The sequence below is a fragment of the Homo sapiens genome, chromosome 2 (genome assembly GCF_000001405.40).
Source record: "Homo sapiens chromosome 2, GRCh38.p14 Primary Assembly".
Classification (NCBI taxonomy): Eukaryota; Metazoa; Chordata; class Mammalia; order Primates; family Hominidae; genus Homo; species Homo sapiens.
The window spans coordinates 188,213,705-188,236,039 of record NC_000002.12 but is presented as its reverse complement, the minus strand read 5'-3'; the positions used below and the strand labels follow the sequence as shown (position 1 = coordinate 188,236,039).

The 22,335-nt window shown below is 37.8% G+C and overlaps 1 long non-coding RNA gene and 1 pseudogene across 1 annotated transcript in view, besides 2 other annotated features; one reads left to right on the top strand and one right to left on the bottom strand.

Annotated features, from left to right (window-relative positions):
• The window catches only part of LINC01090 (long intergenic non-protein coding RNA 1090), a 252,096-nt gene that overhangs the window by 51,652 nt on the left and 178,109 nt on the right, over window positions 1-22,335 (top strand). The gene's annotated exons all lie outside the window — the stretch shown is intronic.
• Window positions 666-755: an enhancer, noted in NCBI's record as "active region_16845". NCBI's record gives its function as "activates an Ori minimal core promoter by ATAC-STARR-seq in GM12878 lymphoblastoid cells {active_cell/tissue: GM12878}" and the evidence as "EXISTENCE:reporter gene assay evidence [ECO:0000049][PMID:35858748]".
• Window positions 1,891-2,091: a silencer, noted in NCBI's record as "peak3993 fragment used in MPRA reporter construct". NCBI's record gives its function as "represses an SCP1 promoter by STARR-seq MPRAs in K562 erythroleukemia cells {active_cell/tissue: K562}" and the evidence as "EXISTENCE:reporter gene assay evidence [ECO:0000049][PMID:32103011]".
• On the bottom strand, window positions 7,478-8,923 carry LOC729141 (arkadia (RNF111) N-terminal like PKA signaling regulator 2N pseudogene; annotated as a pseudogene).

Below are 22,335 nucleotides of genomic sequence, written 5' to 3'. Positions count from 1 at the left end.
TGAAGGGATTTTTTTCAGCAGTCCCATCACTCACAAGTTTCTCCTTTTGGGGGAGCAGAATATCCCATGATCCTGTACATGCCTAATCCTGTCACCTATAGCCATCAGCAAAGATTGCAAGGCAGATTGATCCAAAGAGAATAGCAGTTAACGTCCCAGAGTGCCAAACCCATTCTTAGCACAGAGGGACTTTACTGAGAGGGGCCTCTAACCCTCCTAAGTTGGGTCTCTAACCCAAGGTTGGTCAAGTTTCCTTGTCTTTTTTAAGAGGGGCCTTTAACCCACTCTGTCTTAAGAGAGACTCTAACTCCCCTACGTTGGGCCTCTAACACAAGCCCATCCTTTACCCTAGTATATGCACCTCGCTTACCCAAAGTCAGCCAATTGGTGCGTGCAAATGATTTTCCTTTGGGCCAGGGGTCTCTTCAGTATCGTCCCTTCTGTGATTCACCAGAAAGATGTTACCATACCCCACCATTTACCCAAAGTTAGACTTTGAGTCAGGAGTTTCCACACTGTGGTTGCTTCTGTGGTCGCCAGAGAGATGTTATAGTACTCCACCACTTACTGGGGATTTCCACACTGTAGTCCCTTCTGTGGTCACCAGAAAGATGTTACAGGAAAGGGGTCCTGATCCTCTCTTGGAACTGATCCTGAGTTCCAAGAACCCTCACTTGGAACTCACACAAGAAAGAATTAGGGGCAAGTCCATAGAGTGAAAGCAAGTTTATTAAGAAAGTAAAGGAATAAAAGAATGGCTCCTCCATAGACAGAGCAGCCCCAAGGGCTGCTGTTTGCTCATTTTTATGGTTATTTCCTGATGATATGCTAAACAAGGGGTGGATTATTCATGCTTCCCCTTTCTAGACCATATGGGGTAACTTTCTGACATTGCTATGGCATTTGTAAACTGTCATGGTGCTAGTGAGAGTGTAGCAGTGAGGACGACCAGAGGTCACTCTTGTGGCCATCTTAGTTTTGGTGGTGTAATGCCGGCTTCTTTACTGCAACCTGCTTATCAGCAAGGTCTTTATGACCTATGTCTTTTGCTGGCCTCCTATCTCATCCTGTAAGTTAGAATGCCTTAACCATCTGGGAATGCAGCCCAATAGGTCTCAGCCTCATTTTACCCAGCTCCTATTCAAGATGGAGTTGCTCTGGTTCACACGCCTCTGACACACACATCCTCATGTAGCTAGCAAAATGTAACGCCGACCTGCTCCTTCTAAATTGTAGACAAGTTGCTTAATTGGAAATAATAACAAAAACACATCTCACAATGCTGAACTTTATTAATTGAATATTTAAGTGATACAAAAATTACATATTACAGCTCTACTTTCTGCCACTAATTCTGAAAACAGCCAGCTGACAGTGACAGAAACTTAGCAATTGCAGGCAGCTGACATTCTGAAAACAAACAATGCATTTTGTAGTCTTTTTCCTTAGGGATAAAAAAATTTAACTCCTGTCATCCAAAAGACTACCAGATGGCTAAATAGTAGAAAGGGGGGTTTTATTGGTGATATCAATTTGCAAACTAGGGAGAGACAGTCTCTGATGTGAACTGAAGGTGCTCTCTCTTCGAAAAGGGAAAGGGCAGGTTGGCTTTTATGCCTCACAGGGTCTGTACATATATACATTTATATATACATATATATTTTGTATATATTACAAAATAGTCATATATATTAATCAGGTTTAGTGGAAAAGCTATACATGATATGAGGAGAGTTGAGCACATGCACAAATGGATAAATGTATAGGTAACATACATCCTGTGTTTACTTTGGGGTGGGATTTTAGCATTAAAATGAGGTAGAATTTGATTATTTACATCAGAAGGTGAACTATAGGACACAAAGACAGTTTGTGCGCAATTTTATAAGCTGGTCAAAACTGTCTTGAGGTCTGCAGTTGCTTATCAGGAGAGAATGTTTGTAAGGTCCTCTGCCCAGTCAGAGTTGTAGTGGCCTGGGTTCTAAATTAGTTAGGAAGGGTCTGACAATTGGCTGATAGCTCCTGTTGTTAAGGTGTTTAGCAAGAGTGTGGTCTTTCTTGTGGCCATAGAAATTTAGCAAGTTGCCACGCCAGCGGAGCCCTGAACCCTATTTCCTTAACTTTAGGGTCTGTCTTAGTTGGCAAAGAGATGTCTACTTTGGTCTCTCAGATCACATTCTATATTAATGTTCTAGTCTAGAAGTGAACAAAATTGAAAGACAATTTCAATAAGCTAGTAATGTGTTATTTTAATGCATGCAGTAAATCCAAATTTTTGAATTTGAACTTGAAGTGGCCCACAATGCTTACCCTATCCCAATTCAACAATTCAGTAAAGGCTAAATAAATATTTGAAGATTATCTGTTTAAATATGCATCAAATTATTAGCCTTTCTTCAGTATCCTCGTGTTCATCCGAACTCCATAGATTGTTACTAAGATTATATTTTATGCATTAATTATTTTAGTTCTTACAGTACCTCTTTCAGATAACAAAATAATTGATACTTAAGTGAAGCCAAGTCATTTGCTAACATCACACAGTTAGGAGGTTCCAATACCCGTGTATTAACTCAGGTATTAACTAGGTGACTTTTGTCACCTAGGTTGCCTCTACCACTACCCTCTGGGCCTCTTTTGATGTTCAAAATGACTGGTTCCACCTAATACTGGTTTCTCCTCTAATCCAATTTTCTACTTTCCTGAGAAAGTGTTCATTTCTTTGGTGATACTTAGACCACAACCATTGCCTACCAGTGTGTCCACTGGTAATCCCCTGAAGGGAAAAATTTCATCTATAGGAAAGAATGGAATATCTGATAGAGTCATAGATAAGGGACAGAAAGTTCTGGCATTGCTTCAGGCACAAAATCTACTTGCCTTTGAGATAAATTTTACCATCTCTTTGATTTGGTTCCCTGAGCCAGTAACACTCTTCCCATTCTTCCTTTTTAAAAGCTGGTTTAGATTATTGTCACTTGGGAATGAAAGACTCTAGAGAAATTCTAGAGAGTATAGAGGAATATGGATTCTGAATTCCGTAATTCTGTCATCAGACAGACCTGGGCTCAGAATCTAGTTCCCCAGCTTCCTGTCTATATGACATTGGCAAAGTAACCCTTCTTTTTATCATAGTTTTATTATTTTTTAAATAGAGTAATTCTTGGGGAATTATGAGGATTAAATGAGATAATGCAGACAAAATGTTTGACATACAGCAAGAGTTCACTAAACTTTAGATGTTATTAACTAATAAAGGCACTCAAAGTAAATTAGCAAACTCTAAAACCGTGAGTAGAAAATTTGAATTATGAATGCTAGGGATATCTTTGTACCTATAGTTACATAGGTAAATCCAGCCACTTAGCTATACTTACTAAGGTATAATCCCTCCTACAATTTTGTCTGCTCATTCTTCATTTTTTAACCTTCTAAATAAGATGACAAATTATTATTTTAGCAGGTGAAGAATTACATTTATATGATAGCAAAGAAATGACTTAGGATAAAGCTAATAGCATTTAGGAGAAAGCTGTTGAGTTTGCATAATATTATTTCAAATGATGTCATAAATGTTAAGAGGAAGGCATTGTATGATCTTAAAGATACTGTTGTTTTTAGACTCAGAAATAGAAAAAAAAAGAAGGTAAAACATAAAATAGTAAGTAGATACATGTGACAATTTGTAGACTTCTTGAGTTGTCACAACAATAATGGCATCATTTTCTATTTTATTTAAATACTAACTGTAAAAATTAAATTGCATTTTCTCAGAAAAAAATTTTGTTTTCAATTCTGTTCAATCCTAGGTGATAGTTCCTCCCTATACTTGAGGATAGGGTCTTTAAAATGCCCTCTGGTGAGCTGGGTGCAGTGGCTCATGCCTGTATTCTCAGCACTTTGGGAGGCCGAGGCAGATGGATCACCTGAGGTCGGAGTTTGAGACCGGACTGGCTGACATGGTGAAACTGCCTCTACTAAAAAACAAAACAAAACAAAAATTAGCTGGGTGTGGTGGCTCACGCCTGTAACCCGACGTACTTGGGAGGCTGAGGCAGGAGAATAGCTTGAACCCTGGAGGCAGAGGTTGCAGTAAGCTGAGATAACACCACTGCACTCCAGCCTGGGAGACAGAGTGAGACTCCGTCTCAAAAAATAAAAATAAAAAATAAATAAATACCTTCTGGTTAGAAGAATTTTGGTTAAGGATCTTCATACTCTTTTGAAAAATGTGCTAGAGACAAAAATCTGGAGTGACCTGTATGTACATATTCTGTGTATTTTTACCTCCATTAAAATAAAACAATATAGTTGGCACATAAAATACAGACAATAGCAACAATATTTTACATATCTTATATAGCAAAAATAGTAATCTGAATATTTATTTACTACTATCCCTTACTTTCTTAAAAATAATTTTTAGATTCTCAGTACTCTTTAATTTGAATGAGATGTTTGTAATAGTGTTTGACTTTGCTACAGATATGCATACTAAAATGTATTTTGTGAAAACAATAAAAGTACATTTTGTTTCATTTTCCTCCATCCAAATGTTTCATGGTTTTCTAGTGTTGCCTTAGAAAATGCTGAATTCTGCCTCCATATCCAAATAGGTTTTGATTAATTTCTTCCTTTTATACTAGCTGAGTCTTGCTTTCCTTAGTCTCATCTTATTTGTTTTGGTTCCTCTAAAAGGCATCTTACCTCCATCCTTGTTTGTTGGGAATAGGCCCCCCAAAACTGGCCATAAACAAAATCTCTGCAGCACTGTGACATGTTCATGATGGCCATGATGCCCACACTGGAAGGTTGTGCGTTTACCGGAATGAGGGCAAGGAACACCTGGCCCACCCAGGGCGGAAAACAGCTTAAAGGTGTTCTTAAACCACAAACAATAGCATGAGTGATCTATGCCTTAAGGACATGCTCCTGCTGCAGATAACTAGCCAAACCCATCACTTTATTTCGGCCCATCCCTTTATTTCCCGTAAGAAATGCTTTTAGTTAACCTATAATCTATAGAAACAGTGCTTATCACTGGCTTGCTGTCAGTAAATACGTGGGTAAATCTCTGTTCGAGGCTCTCAGCTCTGAAGGCTGTGAGACCCCTAATTTCCCACTCCACACCTCTATATTTCTGTGTGTGTATCTTTAATTCCTCTAGTACTGCTGGGTTAGGGTCTCCCTGACTGTCAGGCCTCTGAGCCCAAGCTAAGCCATCATATCCCCTGTGACCTGCACATATACATCCAGATGGCCTGAAGCAACTGAAGATACACAAAAGAAGTGAAAATAGCCTTAACTGATGACATTCCACCATTGTGATTTGTTTCTGCCCCACCCTAACTGATCAATGTACTTTGTAATCTCCCCCACCCTTAAGAAGGTTCTTTGTAATCTCCCCAACTCTTAAGAAGGTTCTTTGTAATTCTCCCCACCCTTGAGCATGTACTTTGTGAGATCCACCCCCTGCCCACAAAACATTGTTCCTAACTCCACTGCCTATCCCAAAACCTATAAGAACTAATGATAATCCCACCACCCTTTGCTGACTCCTTTTTCGGACTCAGCCCACCTGCACCCAGGTGAAATAAATAGCCTTGTTGCTCACACAAAACCTGTCTGGTGGTCTCTTCACATGGACACGTGAGACACCGACCGAGCTGGTTTTGGTCCTTATAGATACTACAATAATATAATTTTGAGGCCAAGGTTTGCTTTGTTTCACTTTTATTAATCTGTATCAAGCCTTTGTGGCAAAATCAGTACTTATTATGCATTATTTTACTACTTTTTCTTTTCCCAGGCCATAACTATCTTTTCCTAATAACTCTCCAAAAAGAGTAAACCATATTTTATATCTGGTTGTGAAATTCTTAAGGTATCTCTAAAGGTATACACAAGAAAAATTTTTTATGAGGAGAATTTATAAATAGGAAAAATTTTCTTCCTTTCCCCAGGGAAGGCCTCCTATAATTGTTAAAATTTCATCAATTCAATGTTAAATGGAGTGTTCAGAAAATAAATCAATGAGTTATAATCACTTGTAGTAGGATAATAATGTGTTAACTAATATATTTTACCAGTTACCCTACCTTTCTCTCAACAGCTAAGTATTCTGCTTTCATTGCTTCAGAAAAGGATAGAAAAAGTCAATTTGACTGAAAGTACATATCAACCACTTGGGGGGAAAAGAAACTTTGAAATAATAAAATTTTAAAAACATTACTTTTTCACCTTTGAGTCTCTGGACAAGATATGTGTTTCTATAACATAGCCTATAAATATCTATTGAGGATCAGCCATGTACAGAACACTATGCTAAGCAGAGAATAAGAGATGGATTAAGACATCATCATCATATTAATGATGTTTACTGAATGCCCACTAAGCTTCAGCCATTGCCATGCATTTTTACATGTGATATTTCATTTAATATTTACTGCCTGCTCCATTAAGACGTAGAAAAGATTAAATAAAAAATGTGTACGCCTAGTGCAATGAACTTGCAATGATTTATATATGGCTTGAGAAAATCAAAAAGTTTTCACAGAGGGGTTTGAAAGCAAAATCTTGGCGGAGTGGAGAGTGGTGACTTTGATGATAGGGTGTTGGATGAAGAAAAAGGTATAAGTAGGAAGAGGACAGAAAGCCAACACTGAAAAAAGCAAGGAACTAGAAAATGAAACAGTGATGCACAGCTAGAGAGAAGGTGAGGAATAGAGAGAAGTAAACCCGGAAACACTGGCTACACTTGATGATGGAGGGTCTCATATTCCAGTTTATGACTTGCAGGCATCTAGTGCATATTCTGCGTGGCTCGCTGTGCAAGGACTGGGGTGGCTTTCTTTTCCTTACATCTAATATAGAGACAGTGGAAACTAATATAGCAATTCTTCCATCCAGAAAAGTTCTCTTGTGCTCCACAGAGCATGCTTATAGGGTTCTTCTGTGTTCTGAGTGCTTAGTGGGTACGAGCTATGAACAGGAGCAAACTTTTTGAAAAGAGAAAAAAAGCCTTTGTTTCTTTAATAAATGAGTTTACAATTAGAAGATTATGTAAACTGTGTTTTTTTTTCTTTTTTCCATACTTTGTTTTTTTTGCAAGGGCTATTTTATTTTTTATGTATTTTTATATTTTGTAGATACAAGGTCTCACTAGGTTGCCCAGGCTGGTCTCAAACTCCTGGCCTCCAGCGATCCTCCTGCCTTAGCCTCACAAACTGCTGGGATTACAGGCAGTAGCCACAGTGCCTGGCCTCAATAATTTTTTTGAACTTTGTATATTTCACACATTATTGATTAAATTGTTTAACTTTTTCAATTTTGTTGCTTGTGTTCCAGAGATATTTAATTCCCTTTAAATGCCTATATGATGCTAAAATGGATAAAAGTGTTATACTGAATGCCAGAATGTAAAAATTTAGGAGTTTCTCCCATCATTTTTTTTCAGGTTATTTAAATTTAATTTACTTTTTTTTCCTGACTTCTTTTAATTAAGAAGAGGAGGAAAGGAGGGAATTTTCCATGAGTTTGAATCCTACAAATGCCACAAACAGCTTCTGAAGCTGAAGCCATGACAATGAACTTCCATGACACAAAGAAGATGAGGAATTGGAAGGGAACAGTGCAGGAGAAACACAGTGACATTGTGTCACAGTAGGTATTTATGCCTGCTATCCTCATCCGAGATAAGGTCAATAACTTCTGCTGGTGAAGCCCAAGTCTGCTGGGGGCTCACAGCAGTTCCATGACTGTGTCTGCCTGGTGCTAAGATACTGTGTGCCCGAGCCATGCTTCCACGAAGAAGCACTCCAAATCACACCACCTCGAGGATGAACACACCTTGCATGTTCCTGAACTCCCACAATCTCTACTTCACTATCTGAAGAGGCAATATTAATTTCTTCATTGAGCGGTGCATTGCCGGCAGATATTTTGTCACTTGCTAGGAATCCTGGATGCAAATGACCTGCCTCTGCATTCAGCTCCTCTAGAAGCCAGCTGGTCCTCCAGGTAGCTCCTGTGTCCTGGCCGCCTATAGAATTATTGTGCTCTTGAACTACTGCAGCCGCCGATAAATTGTACACAGTTACCACTTCCGGGTCAGAGCTGGTGTCAGACATATCATAATGAGCTACAACTGGAGGTCCATCTGGTATCTCTGCAGTGATTGTCTTGCTGCTCCCTGAAACCTCTTCATCATCATCTGATGAGCTCGTGCTTGTCACAAGTCAGGTCACTGTCACTGGTACTACTTACTGTCCTGCAGCAGGTTGTACTGCTTGCAGCAACCTCCCGTTCGTGCCTCAGTAGCCTGATCCTCTCCTTGTGCTTTTGGCTCCAATGACCTTTAACCCATTCTGTTTATCACTGGATTGCCAGTTTTTCTTGGCAGCCATAGTGGATGTTTCACTTTTAGATCGGGACCTCCTAGACTTGCGCCCAACTGTGGCACCAGACACTCCTGAAGGGTCTCCTTCTACCGCTGTTTCTGCCTGAGAGGGTTCATTCTCTTCTGCGGAAGACAACGTGTCTGAATCAGCCAGGTGATCACTAGAAGAAGGGCAAAGCATGCAGTGATTAGAGGAGTCACTCTCATAAACTTGGCCAGTTGTAGGCTTGTCACTCTCTGTGGATGCTGAGACTCAGAAGAGTCTCTTCTCAGCTCCATCAACAAGCAGGGCATTGAAGAAAGAACTGCAGAATCTGCTACACCGTCTTTCTGAACTTGAGATTCCAGTTCTACAGATTCATCTTCCTCCTTCGCTGTCTCTTGTTCAGATGTTTTTGGTGGGACTTCAGACTCAATGAGTTATTCGAGTTTTCCCACTGCCTCCTCTATCTTTGTTTCAGAATTTCAAGTTAAATCATGGAGCAGCCTCTAGGAAATGGTATCAAAGATGCAACAGGAAAGCAAACAAAAAAACTTGTAGGCCAAGCCTGGGAGATCAGAACTCAGAGGATTGGGTGCCACTTCCTTATTCTTACTTGGATCTAGAATTCAAATTTACATTGTCCACGTGGTCAAGAAACCCTGCGCTCTGCAGTGACTCCGTGCCTCCTGGCTCGCTCAGCGCACCCCATCAGGGCACACACCATCCCCCAAACTTAATTTGAATTTTAAATTAGTATTCTCCTTATTTCAGTTTTTGGCTTCTGTAAGAGAATACATCATAATTTATTGCTTCAGTCTGCAATTTGCCATATCTCCTAATGACATTCAGTAGTGAATTGTTAAAAAGAATCTGTGTATCTACATATTGATTATGATTATCTATCTATCTATTTATCACAATTCTGGAGGCTGTAAGTCTGAGATCAAGGCGGCATCAGGGTTGGTTTCTTCTGAAGTCTCTCTCCTTAGTTTATAGATGGCCATTTTCATTCTGTGTCTTCACGTTGTCTTTTTGCTGTGTGTGTCTGTGTCCTAATCACTTCTTATAAATACACCAGCCATATTGGATTAGGGCCTACATGAATCACCTCCATTTTACCTTAGAAACATCTTTAAAGACTATCTCCAAATATAGTCACATACTGAGGCACTGTGGGTTAGATTTCAACACATGAATTCTGAGGGAAGACATAATCCAGCTCCTAACACCACCAAAGTGTATAGTTTTATCCATTATGGAGTCTCATGTATTATGCTTTGTGAACTCTCTTTTTTTTTTCATTTTAATAAAGTTTCCATTTCTAGGATGCTTTGTGAGTTCTTGAGTAGGCACCATGCCTTGCATTATTTTGAGTCTCCCATTTTTGGGGGGTAGATACCGGTTTGGAAGATATGGGTCTTCCATCAAAGGAGACATTTGCATTGAAAAAATCAGATAAATGACAGACTAATTAATAATTTCTAATTGATTATTAATTAAAGTTAAGGAAATGTGTTTGAAAGATAGATCCCAATATATGAGTACATTACAAGAAAATTCAATAAGAAGCCGACTGAGTGTGAACAACATAGAGATATGGTCATCCTTGGAGAAGAGTTTTTTATTAGCATGAACATTGTATGTGTTTATATCTAGGAAAAAAAGAAAATGGACTTATTCTTATTAATACTAAGATATTTCTCAGACTAAATAAGACAATATAATGGTTGAGCCAAATTAATTGTGTTAGAACCTCAATCGATATTCCTTGATCATGTAGGATGTTGGAGATATGTGCATGACTCTAAAATGCTATCAGGTAGACTGCCTACTGGAAAAATTCCCAGTGGGCAACAATACTGGGGGAAAAGTAGGTTAGAGTAATGTAGTTGATAGTAATTTGATGGCAAGTTGTCTACCGTAGCCTAAAAAGAGTTTGAAAAGGAAATATAATAATAATAAATAATAATAACAAAATATTTAGATCAGATATTTAGATTCTAGAGTGAAGAGGTTTTACCAGTAGGCAGATTTCTGCATATGTAATTTTACTGAAGAAGTGGCTTTCAAACCTTTGACAATTTCTATTGGGACCAGGTAACGCATGTACACACACAGACACACACAAGGACACTATTTACCTTTCTCATGTATGATGCACTCTAACATTCTCCATTTTATTCAGTTTTGTCTCACTGCAGTCTATTTCATTACTGTTTCTGATACATTCTATGTATTTCATACCACACCGAGGCTGCACCCAGGAGCTTGAGAATCACTGCATTTGAAAGCCTTTTCTAACAAAGGGTATGAAGACTTGGAAAGGTGTATAAGTGTCCAGCATATGGTGTGCCATATCTGCCTCCCTGGAGATGCCCAATGTATATGAGACAGTCAGTGGAGGCTAAGAATCTGACTTCCAGAGAGGCATCATTACACTGAGATCCACAAAGCAGTGCGAAGGGTCAAAAATGAAAGGGAACTAGAACCAAGATAGAAAGGTTATCAGGGAAATGAAGCATTGTACAGAAGAGCTGGTGTTAGACAGCATGAAGAGGAGGATAACAAGTATAAGGAGTAACACTATCATATTGTTGTGTTTAGGAGAGTCAACCCTGATGTTAGACATGTTGTACTCAAATCTCACCTTTGATACTTACACATTTGTCACTTTGTATAAGCATCTAATCATTCTATGCCCCATTTAACAATCTATAAAATAGTATCTATGATTTATTGAGCACTTAACAAATGCAAGGCACTACAGAAAGTGCTTTCCTTTTGTTAACTCATTTAATATTGACACCACCTTAATGAGGTAGGCACAGATTTTATTCCTAGCATACTTGTATTTTAGAGTTGTTTTGAAGAGGATAAAATAACATGAAACAGTTCCCAGCACTACACATTCATGAAATCAAAACAGTGAGATGTAACGATTTTCTGATGTCCTGAACAAAAAATCAAAGGAAACCCATGAAATTACTAAGTGTCACGCAACTTAATATCTATGTCATGAGATAACTGCATTAGTTTGCTTATCTAGAAAGGGGCATGAAATATGATAAGTAAAGAGAAAGTGAGTTGATGGATATAAAACACTTATTGTTGGGAGACAATTCAGGGCCTTTCTGCATGTCTTGTATTAACTTTTGTTCTGGACTATCTTTTTAATGATGTTTGTATAGGAAACAGCCTTGGAAGACAGAGATAATGTCTCCCATCAGGGCAGAGGTCAGGAATATTGTCTTTATTAAGATGATATCGCCCTCTAGGACAAAGGTTAGGCAAGTTTGCTAGCAACCCTCTTTAAAACATTGGAGTTTTCTAAACTTGGTGTTCCTTAGTTGTGATACAAACCGACTCTATGAGCAGCACTTATGTGAGTATAATGTCCCTGGAGATCCCGGTAGGTAAAGAATAGATGCAGACTTGGGGCTCATGCTTCCTGCTCTGCTATAAATAATAAAGTCCTTCATCTGTGACCCTGAAGTCTATTCTTTTCTGCCAGCATCTATAAAACAATGGTAGGCTAACTGGTTAAAAAATAATACTCTCAGACTTTTCATAATTCTTGATACTTAGATAATGCCTGGCTATATAAAAAGTACACAATAAATGGAAACCTGTTGGCATTATGATATCTATCAATTTGACAATGCGTCAGATAATAAATTTAATAAAGCAACTATACAGTGCATGTCTGCTACATGCTAGTCATGATGTGAGGTGCTAAGGCTAAAAAGCTGAATAAGACAGATTCTCTGATTTCATACTCTGGAGGGGGAGATATTGGCACATAAATAATTATAACTTGTCTTAATATTATGGTAGAAATATTATAAGGACCTAGAGCATTAAGGAGGCGACATCTATCTCTGCCTAAAATGTGAGATGGAGAGGAGGTATGAGGGAAGTTGCTTAAGGGGAAGTAATACTTCAACTAAGTTTTAACAGCTGACAGTTAGTGTGAATTTGTTAGTCACATGTCAACTATAATTTGTTGTTTTAAAATTATTGGTGTCAGTTACCATTTATGGTAGGTTGAGTTGTGTCCCCAGAAACATGTTGAAGTCCCAATTCCTGGTACCTATGAAGATGACCCTATTTGGAAATAAGGTCTTTGCAGATGTACCTAAAATGTAATTTAAGATAAGCTTATGCTGAAACAGGGTGGGCCCTTAATCCAATATGACTGATGGTTTTATAAGAAGAGGAGAGACAATTATGAAGATATATGCATGGATATGTTCATTGCAATACTATTCACAATAGCAAAGACATGGAATCAACCCAAATACCCATCAATGATAGACTGGATAAAGAAAATGTGGCACATATACACCATGGAATACTATGCAGCCATAAAAAGGAACAAAATCATGTCCTTTGCCTGGACACGAATGGAGCTGGAAGCCATCATCCTCAGCAAACTAACGCAGGAGAAGAAAACCAAACACTGCACATTATCACTTATAAATGGGAGCTGAACAATGTGAACACATGGACACAGGGATGGGAATAACACACACTGGGGCCTGTTGGGGTGGCAGTAGGGGAGGGAGAGCATCAGGAAAAACAGCTAATATATGCTGGGCTTAATACCTAGGTGATAGGTTGATAGGTGCAGCAAACCACCATGGCACACGTTTACCTATGTAACAAACCTGTATATCCTGTATACGTATCCCAGAACTTAAAAAAATAAAAAAGAAGAAGAAATGCATGGAAACACAAAGACACACAGAAGGAAGATGGCACTGTGATCACAGAGGCAACAATTATACAAATGCAAATCAAAGAATCCCCAGGATTGCTGGCAAAGTCCAGAAGCAGGCAGAGAGATGGCATGCCTCTGCCAACACCTTGATTTTGGACTTTTAACCTCCAGAACTGAGAGATAAAATTTCTTTTGTTTTATGTCACCCAGTTTGTTACAGAAGCCCTAGGAAAAACATACCATTTCATTATTGTTTTCCATATACTTATCTTCAGACAAAAATAAGGAAAGGGCACTGTGGTCAAAAACAAAAGAAATATGAGAGAGAATAATAAATTAAAAAAACATAAATTGCTAAAAGTCACTGTATGGGGAGGAAAACGGCAGCTGATGAGGCTGGAAAGTAATAGATGGACCCTAGTGTAGTGTAATGAGTGTGGCTTTTGGATGTAACAGACCTGTGTTCAAATGCCAGCTTCTCTATTTACTAGATGTACGATCTCAGAAAATTTAACCACCCTCTCTAAATTTGGTATTATTGTCCGTAGAATAAGATAACAATTACTACTTTGAGGGGCTATTTGGAGAATTTGGGAAATGTGGATAAAGCTCATAGCAAGTATTTGATACATGCTAGTCAGTAGTAGCACTTTTAGATTTACATTAGGGAGATTCTTCTGACAGCTGTGTTGATGATGGAAATGGAGTGGGCCACTGCCGAAGTGTGGGTGGCTGGAGCATGGCTGGAAGAATAGATACCAATGAGGCAGTTTTTGCATCAGCCAAGATGAGAGATGTTAGAGGCCTGAGCTATATCAATGCCATAGTGGGGATACAAATGAGAAAATGAGTGAGAAAAGTGTTTCTTTGTTAAAATTAATTTGTCATTATTGACCAACTCAATGGAAGTCGTGATGAGACAGCAGTAGTCTTTAAACCAGCCACTCCTACCCATTCCTTCTAATTTATGAAAAAGAGAACTGATTTCAGGTGTTTTGTTTTGTTTTAATTCTTCCAGTTAAGGACTTCTATTCTCTCACTCAGAGAAGCAGGTTGATGTATGGAAACTATCTCTTAAGAAGGGCCTATGCTAAAATGTGGCTGGAGAAATTGATCAGAGTGAAGAAAAGACTTGGTCATTGCACATGAAGAATGGCAGAAAAATTGAAAGTCCTTTTTCACAGCTAAAAAGAAATCAAAATTAGGTATCATCAATTCAATATTAATTCAACTCACTATGAAAAAAACAGTAAGTTGGATTACTCAAATGTGGTGACATTGGGATTTGACTACATAAAGAATTGAATTAGAATCACCTTCAAATTTTACTCATACCATAGAGTTCTTGATTTCAGTTTAATAGAACTATACAAAAACATTATATTCTGCTTTTAGAAAACCACACAATACAAGGAACTCCCACCCAAGCCCTAAACCTAAACAAACAGAAACACAGGAAAACTGTGCTTGAAGTGGTAAGTTATTTCTGCAACAAAGAAAAGTAGCAGAAAATGTATTCCCTTGCAAAAATATTAAATAGATTTTAACAATTTATAGATTCAGACACGCATAATAAGAAATAGAATTTGAAATCCCTGTATAAATTTTATGAGTCAGAACATTTCCCTTTAGAAGCTTATATTTATCACATAAAAGTACCTTCACACACACAACCACCTACTCACCTGCCCAAACACACATGCATACACACTCATACTCATTCATATATTAAATATAGAAAACAAAGATTTGAGACAGAATAAATAGGTTTATATGTGTGACTGTTTGATAAGAAAATTAAACACTAGATGCTTGAAACGCCTGTAAGAAAAGAAAACTCTGAAATGACAAGTAGCAAAATTAATTTGTAACAACTAAACAATGAATGTGAAGTTTACCAGTTGGAAAGGACAGATTTCTAAGAACACAGAGAAGAAAGTCCTCTCCTAAAGGACTTTTCTTATTCCAAGGCTTATTGGAAAAACTCTCAGGTGAAATAAACATCATTACAATATGATAGATGACACTGGTTATCTTTTGGAATCAGAGATGTTAATGACCATTCTGTTGATTTTCATGTTCATGATACAGTCCTTATGAATACATGTAGCATAATTTCTAGGTACATGTGTTTTCAACCCCAACCATTCCAGTTTAGGAAATAGTCTTCAAATGTAGCTGAACAAAAACTGTATATGCAACAATTGTTTTCCTGGTGCCACCTGTGGATTTCTCTTCACATCTAGGATTCTTTTTATTGGATAGTGTTCGTGGCAACCAAACTTTGCCCTTTAAAGATGAATTTGACTTTTTAAACAACTGTGTCAATAAGATTCATGTCTGTTGAATAAGGTTAATGGTTAAGTACCAAAATTAAACAAGATTTTATTATAGAGCAAAAACGCGAAAACCAAAAATCCCAAACTCATTTATTTCTCATATTCATGTGGCTGATTCTGAAGATTTATCACTCAGGAGGCAGCATTAAGGTAATACATTTTGCACATCCAAATATAGATTACATTCAAAGCATATGAACAAAGAAAAATAATGTTTTGGAAATTGTGATAAATTTTCCTTAGAAAAAGATGTTTAAAAAATTGATATTTGGGAAACCTACCGTAATTTGTATATGATAGCATTCATCTTTTTCTTTTAGAAAAAGGGAAAATGTGTTTTTAGCTTCTGTACCTGATTATCACATTTGTATGTACTAGGAATGCTAAATATAAATTACAAGGGTCAATGGTTACTGTCCATTTGTCACTGAGGGTCAGTTGGCTTTGATCCCCTCCAGTCGATCTCTCCAGGGAGCCTGAGCCTTCACCCTCAGTTATTGTTGTGGCCCTGTGAGGACCATGCCCCACTCCATTCTTCATGGCTTCTTTCCAACATAATGAGTCTAAAATCATTATAGTAATAGAGATTAATTGGAATAGATTCCTTGAATATTTGCACTTGTGCTCTCTTGTAAGGGAAGGGTCTTCATCACACAGCAAGGGCTGGATTTTCTAAGGTAGCAGGGCTTTGTTCCCTAGTCATGATTGCTAACAGTATTACCAAGAATGATTCCACCTATTTTGGTTGGCTGATTTTAAATATAGGAAACAGTTGACAAGAGAGTTATGCAGTCTGGAGAACAGAGGCAAAACCTACAGTTCTAACTTTAGTTTTGTCTTAAATTTGACATTTCTGACTACTTTCCAGGATCAAGCTGAGTGATGGCAGAACACAGGCAAAACAACTCTGTGTGTTTCACTATGCTGAGCCTGGGTGTGGAGATAACACCAAGATGCAAGAGGGCCAGACAGTGGCTCATGTCTATAATCCCAGCTTTTTAGAAGGCTAAGATGGGAGCATCACTTGAGGCCAGGAGTTTGAGGCTAGCCAGGGCTACGTAGTCAGACCCTGTCTCCACAAAAAAAAAAAATAAAAAAATTAGCTGGGCATAGTAGCACATGCCTGTAGTCCCAGCTACTGGGGAGGCTGGAGAGGCAGGATCATTTGAGCTCAGGAGGTTGAGGCTGCAGTGATCTATGATTGCACCACTGTACTTCAGCCTGGGCAACAGAGTGAGATCCTGTCTCAAAAAAAAAAAAAAAAAGATGAAAGACATTTCATATGGACCAAGAAAAATGAGTGATGTTTAAATTTTCTAACTTTTGATTGATTGAGAATTTATGTATTTCTGTAAAACCAACATATGTATTAAGCTGGAGAACAGAAATAATTTACTCAATTGCTTTTTTATTGCATCATAAATCTATTCGATGAAAACTTACAATGTACTGTTTTGTTTTCAGTTCTTTGGAGAAAAGGCATATAGATTTTATTAACACATACACAGGGGAACCACAGAGTGTTTATCCCCTTACTGTTTTTTAATACATTATACTGTATTATTTTATCAAGAATTACCAATGAACATACAAAAATGGCTGTTTGGAGAATTGAAAGGAATTCTTTTGTGAGAATATAACTTAAATTCTAGACCCTCAAGCAAAACTTGAATTAAGTTTCTTATTTCTAGTATTTGATTTGTTGTTATAACTATTGTTGATAAGTGTAACAATAACCTGCCTATATACAATCATAGTGATTAACAATTTAACTATAAAGGCCGGGCGCATGGCTCACGCGTGTAATCCCAGCACTTTGGGAGGCTGAGGCGGGTGGATCACGAGGTCAGGAGATCAAGACCATCCTGGCTAACATGGTGAAACCCCATCTCTACTAAAAATACAAAAAAATTAGCCGGGTGTGGTGTAACAAAAAAATTAGCCGGGCAACTGTAATCCCAGCTACTCAGGAGGCTGAGGCAGGAGAATGGTGTGAACCTGGAAGGCGGAGCTTGCAGTGAGCCGAGATCACACCACTGCGCTCCAGCCTGGGCGACAGAATGAGACTGCGTCTCAAAAAAAAAAAAAAAAAAAAGAAAAAAAACAGAAACCAAAAAAACAATTTAACTATAAGTGCACAGTGGTATTATTATAAAGGTTAAGAGCTTGGATTTTAGAATCAAGTAGACTCATGTTCACATATGTTCTTTATACTCACCGTATGACAAAACACAATTATGTGACCTTCATAAGCCTTCGTTTTCTCACCTATATCTGCAACATTAAAACCTACTGAAATGGCTCCATTGTCTGGGGAAACACCCAGGGTCCTTTGTCTCGCACCAAGAAAATTAGTGACACTGACACACACATGGAGTGGATTAAGGAGCAGAAAGTTTAATATGCAAGAAGGAAGAGAACAGCTCCCTGGCACAGAGGGAGGAGGGCTCCAAACAGAATAACACACCTTGCGCAGGAGGACAGGTAGGGGGTTGGGGGGGCAGTAAGGGGCAGGGGGGAGCAGTTGGTTATATTGAGAGGCTTGAGGAGGTGGTGTCTGATTGCATAGAGCCCAAACAGGGCAAACGGGATTGATTTGACCAGGTGTGTCATTCACATAGCAAAAAGACTGGCCCTCCAAGCCTAACCTTTTATTATACAAATGAGGCTTCTACCTGGCTGTGCCATGACACCTGCACATGTGGGGACAAAGAAAAGGGAGCAGGAGGCTGGGCGCAGTAGCTCATGCCTGTAATCCCAGCACTTTGGTAGGCCGAGGTGGGCGGATCACCTGAGGTCAGGAGTTCGAGACCAGCCTGGCCAACATGGCAAAATCCCATCTCAACTAAAAATACAAAAATTAGCCGGGCGTGGTGGTGTGCACCTACAATTCCAGCTACTCAGGAGGCTGAGGCAGGAGAATCGCTTGAACCCAGGAGGTGGAGGTTGCAGTAAGCCAAGATTGCACCACTGCATTCCAGCCTGGGCGACAAGAGCGAAACTCTGAAAGAAAAAAAAAAAAGAAGAAGAAAGAAAGGAGGAGAGGGAAGGGGAGGGGAGGGGGGAGGGGAGGGGAGGGGAGGGGAGGGAAGGGAAGGGAAGGGAAGGGAGCAGGAATCACCACATTGGGTGGACCTGACTCTTGACAGCCTGCATTTACGTATGCAAGCCTGTGGCTTGCAAATCAATGCTTGCAAGTCTGTTTTTTTTCCAGCCGCTTTCTGTTAGAAATGTTTTTATTAAAAGAAAAAGCCTTACTGAGGACTCTTTGACTCTTTTACCCTTTCTAGCTGCCTGAAATAATATTTTTTTTTTTTTTTTTTGAGGCAGGGTCTTGCTCTGTCACCTAAGCTGCAGTGCAGTGGATCTCGGCTCACTGCAACCTCCACCTCCTGGGTTCAAGCAATTCTCCTGCCTCAGCCTCCTGAGTAGCTGGGATTACAGGTGCATGCCACCATCCCCAGCTAATTTTTGCATTTTTTTAGTAGAGACGGGGTTTCGCCACGTTGGCCAGGCTGGGGTCGAACTCCTGACCTCAGGTGATCTGACCATCTTGGTCTCCCAAAGTACTGGGATTACAGGCGTGAGCCACTGCGCCTGGTCAAATAATTTCTTAATAACTCCCGTAATACTACTTCATAGCTTGCTTTTACAATTAGATGAGATGTTAGTACCGTACTTGGCACAGCATCTGGAACATAGTTCTTCATAAATAAAAATGATTATTGTTTCTATGTTATTCTGTAGCCAACTAGTTACAGCAGATTTTTTATGCCATTGTACATTTTCTTTCAGTTTTCTATTTTTCCTTTTCATGTATCCTACTTTAGAGTTAGCATCTTATTTTTCTGAAATAAAAAATGTGTATTTCTTTTTACTTTGTTTATGTATTAACTGTGTATTAGCAATACCAATCAACTTTGACTGCCTGAAATTTGTTAAAATGATATTGTATTGCTAACAAAATGAGTGACTATTAAAAAAGGAAGAGTGATATGGGAATCACAGAAACACAGTCACAGTTAAAATCATGTATGGCAGAAATGGGCAAGAAGGACTTTGATGATAACACTTTTGAAGACTTGTACAGCTTTTACTTCTGATGTTGCTGGCACAGAATAGTAACATCATATTTGCTATTGTTGCCACAAACACCTATAGGAATTACGTGTTGGTCACATTCCACTTGAATGAAATCTCTTCAAATTATGTTTGAGTCTCTAGCTTCTGTGTAATATGCATCTTATTGGCTGAGACGTTAGAGGCCGGAAAAGCAACTGTGTATTATTTCAGGTCCGATAGTTTGGGGTAGGCTCTGCTCTCTAGCAAGACTCATATGATAGGGCATTTTCAAACTGCAGCAAAAATAATTCAAATGCTGGGTAGCCAAAAATTGACTAGTGCCCACTACAAACAATAAGTTTTAAAATGAGCTATACAAAGTTTTAAATTATGCTTAAAATAAGTTTTAAAGAAATTGATGACTGCCATGGATGGAGGAATATTTCAATTTAAATAATCCATCTCTACAATTTACTTTTTTAGGAGAAATCCGAATCAGAATATTTGTACCAAATTAGTTACAAGGAAATATTGATTATTAATTATGCCTGATAACATTATGAATACTGTAGCTATTAAATTAAAATCTTATTCAAATAGAAATTATACCGATTGTGTATAGTCCTGTTCTGACAATTGAAGCAGAGGAAAACTTCCTAACTCAGCCTATGAGGCCAGCATACCCTAATGCGTAAAACCAGACACACATTACAAGAAAAGAAAAAAACAGATAAATATCTCACATGAACATAGATGTAATAATCCTTAACACAGTATTAGCAAATCAAATCCAACCATGCGTAAAAAGCATAATAAACCACAACCAGGTGGGATTTATCTCAGATGTTCAAGATTGGTTCAACATTTGAAAAGCAATTAATGTAATCCATTAATACATTAATAGGCTAATGGAGAAAAATTACGTGATCATATCAATAGATGCGGAAAAAGGACTTGACAAAATCAAACTAATTCATATAAAAGCTCTCTGTAAACTAGTAATAGAGTTGAACTTTCTTAATTCAATAAAGAATATTTACCAAAAACATTATACTTAATGGTTATCATCCTAATTCATGGTGAGAAAGTCAATACTTTCCCACTAAGATCAGGAACAAGTCAAGGATGTCCCCTCTCACAATTGCTTTTTAGTTTCATTATGGCAGCTCTAACTTATGCAATAAGATAAAAATAAATAAAAGATATACAGATTGTAAAGAAAAAAAAAACTGCCTTTGTTCACAGATGTCATGAGTATGTAGAAAATCCAAAAGAATCAACCAAGAAATTTCTGGAACTAATAAGTGATTATAGCAAAATTGCAGAATACAAAGTTAATATACAAAAGTCCATTGCTTTCCTATACATGACTAATGAACAAGTAAAATTTGAAATTAAAAACACAATATCAATTATATTAGCACCTCTTACCCCCAAAAAGAAATACAGTCATCTCTTGGTATCTGTCCATGGGAGAATGGTTTCAGGTCCCTCTGTGGGTACCAAAATTCATGGATGCTCAAGTCCCTTATATAATCTACATATATTTTACCATATACTTTAAAACATCTCTAGATTATTTATAAGACATAGTATGATGTAAATGCTACTTAAATGGTTGTTATATTATTTACATTTTTAGTGTTTAATTACTCTTTTATGTATTTATTTTTTCTGACTAGTTTCCTTAGTTGTTTGAATCTGTGGATGCAGAATTGCAGATACAGGGAGCCAACTGTACTTAGGTATAAATCTAACAAAATATGTATATAATCTATACATGGAAATTATAAAACTTGGTGAAAGAAATCAAAGAACTAAGTAAATGGAGAGATATTCCATGTTTATGGCTACAGACTCAATATTGTCAAGATATTAGCTCTTCCCAACTCAATCTATAGGTTTAATGCCATCCCAACCAAAATTCTAGCAGGTTATTTTGTGGAAATTGACAACTAATTCTGAAATTTATATGGAGAGGAAAAAGATCAAGAATGGCCAACACAATATTGGAAAACAAAGTTGGAGGACAGATGCTACCCAAAATACCTTATGCCTTACTTTAAGGTTACAGTAATAAACACAGTCTAGAACCAGCTAAGTAACAGACAAACAGATCAATGGAACAGAATGAAAACTCAGAAAGACTCCCCAAAATATAATCAACTGTTCTTCAACCTTGGCGTTGCTGATGACTTTTAAGGTATAATACCAATGGCACTATCCATTTTTAAAAAATGGATAAGCTGGATTTCATTAAAATTAAAAACCCTGCACTGTCAAGAAAATCAAAAGATAAGCCTGGGACTGGGAGAAAAATATTTGCAAAAGACATTTCTGATAAAGGACTATTATCCAAAATATGTAAAGAACTCTTAAAACTCAACAAAAAGAAAACAACCCAATTAAAATATAGGTCAGAGTTTTTAACAGACTTATAGATGTATATACATTTGAAAAGATGCTCCACATTATGATATATCATCAGGAAATGTACATTAAAACAACACTGAGATATTACTACATACACGTTAAAATGGCCAAAATATGACAATAACAAATGCTGGCAAAGATGTGTAGCAACAGGAACTCTCATTCACTGCTGGTGCAAACGCAGAATTCTATAGACATTTTGATTTGACAGCTAGGCAATTTATTATTTAAAAAAATACTCTTACCATATGATTCAGCAATCACATTCCTTGGTATTTACCCACAAAAGCTGAAAATGTATGTCCACACAAAAACTTGCATATGGATCTTTATAGCAGCTATATTTGCAATTACTAAAACTTTAAAACAACCAAAATGTCCTTCAGTAGGTGAGTAGATA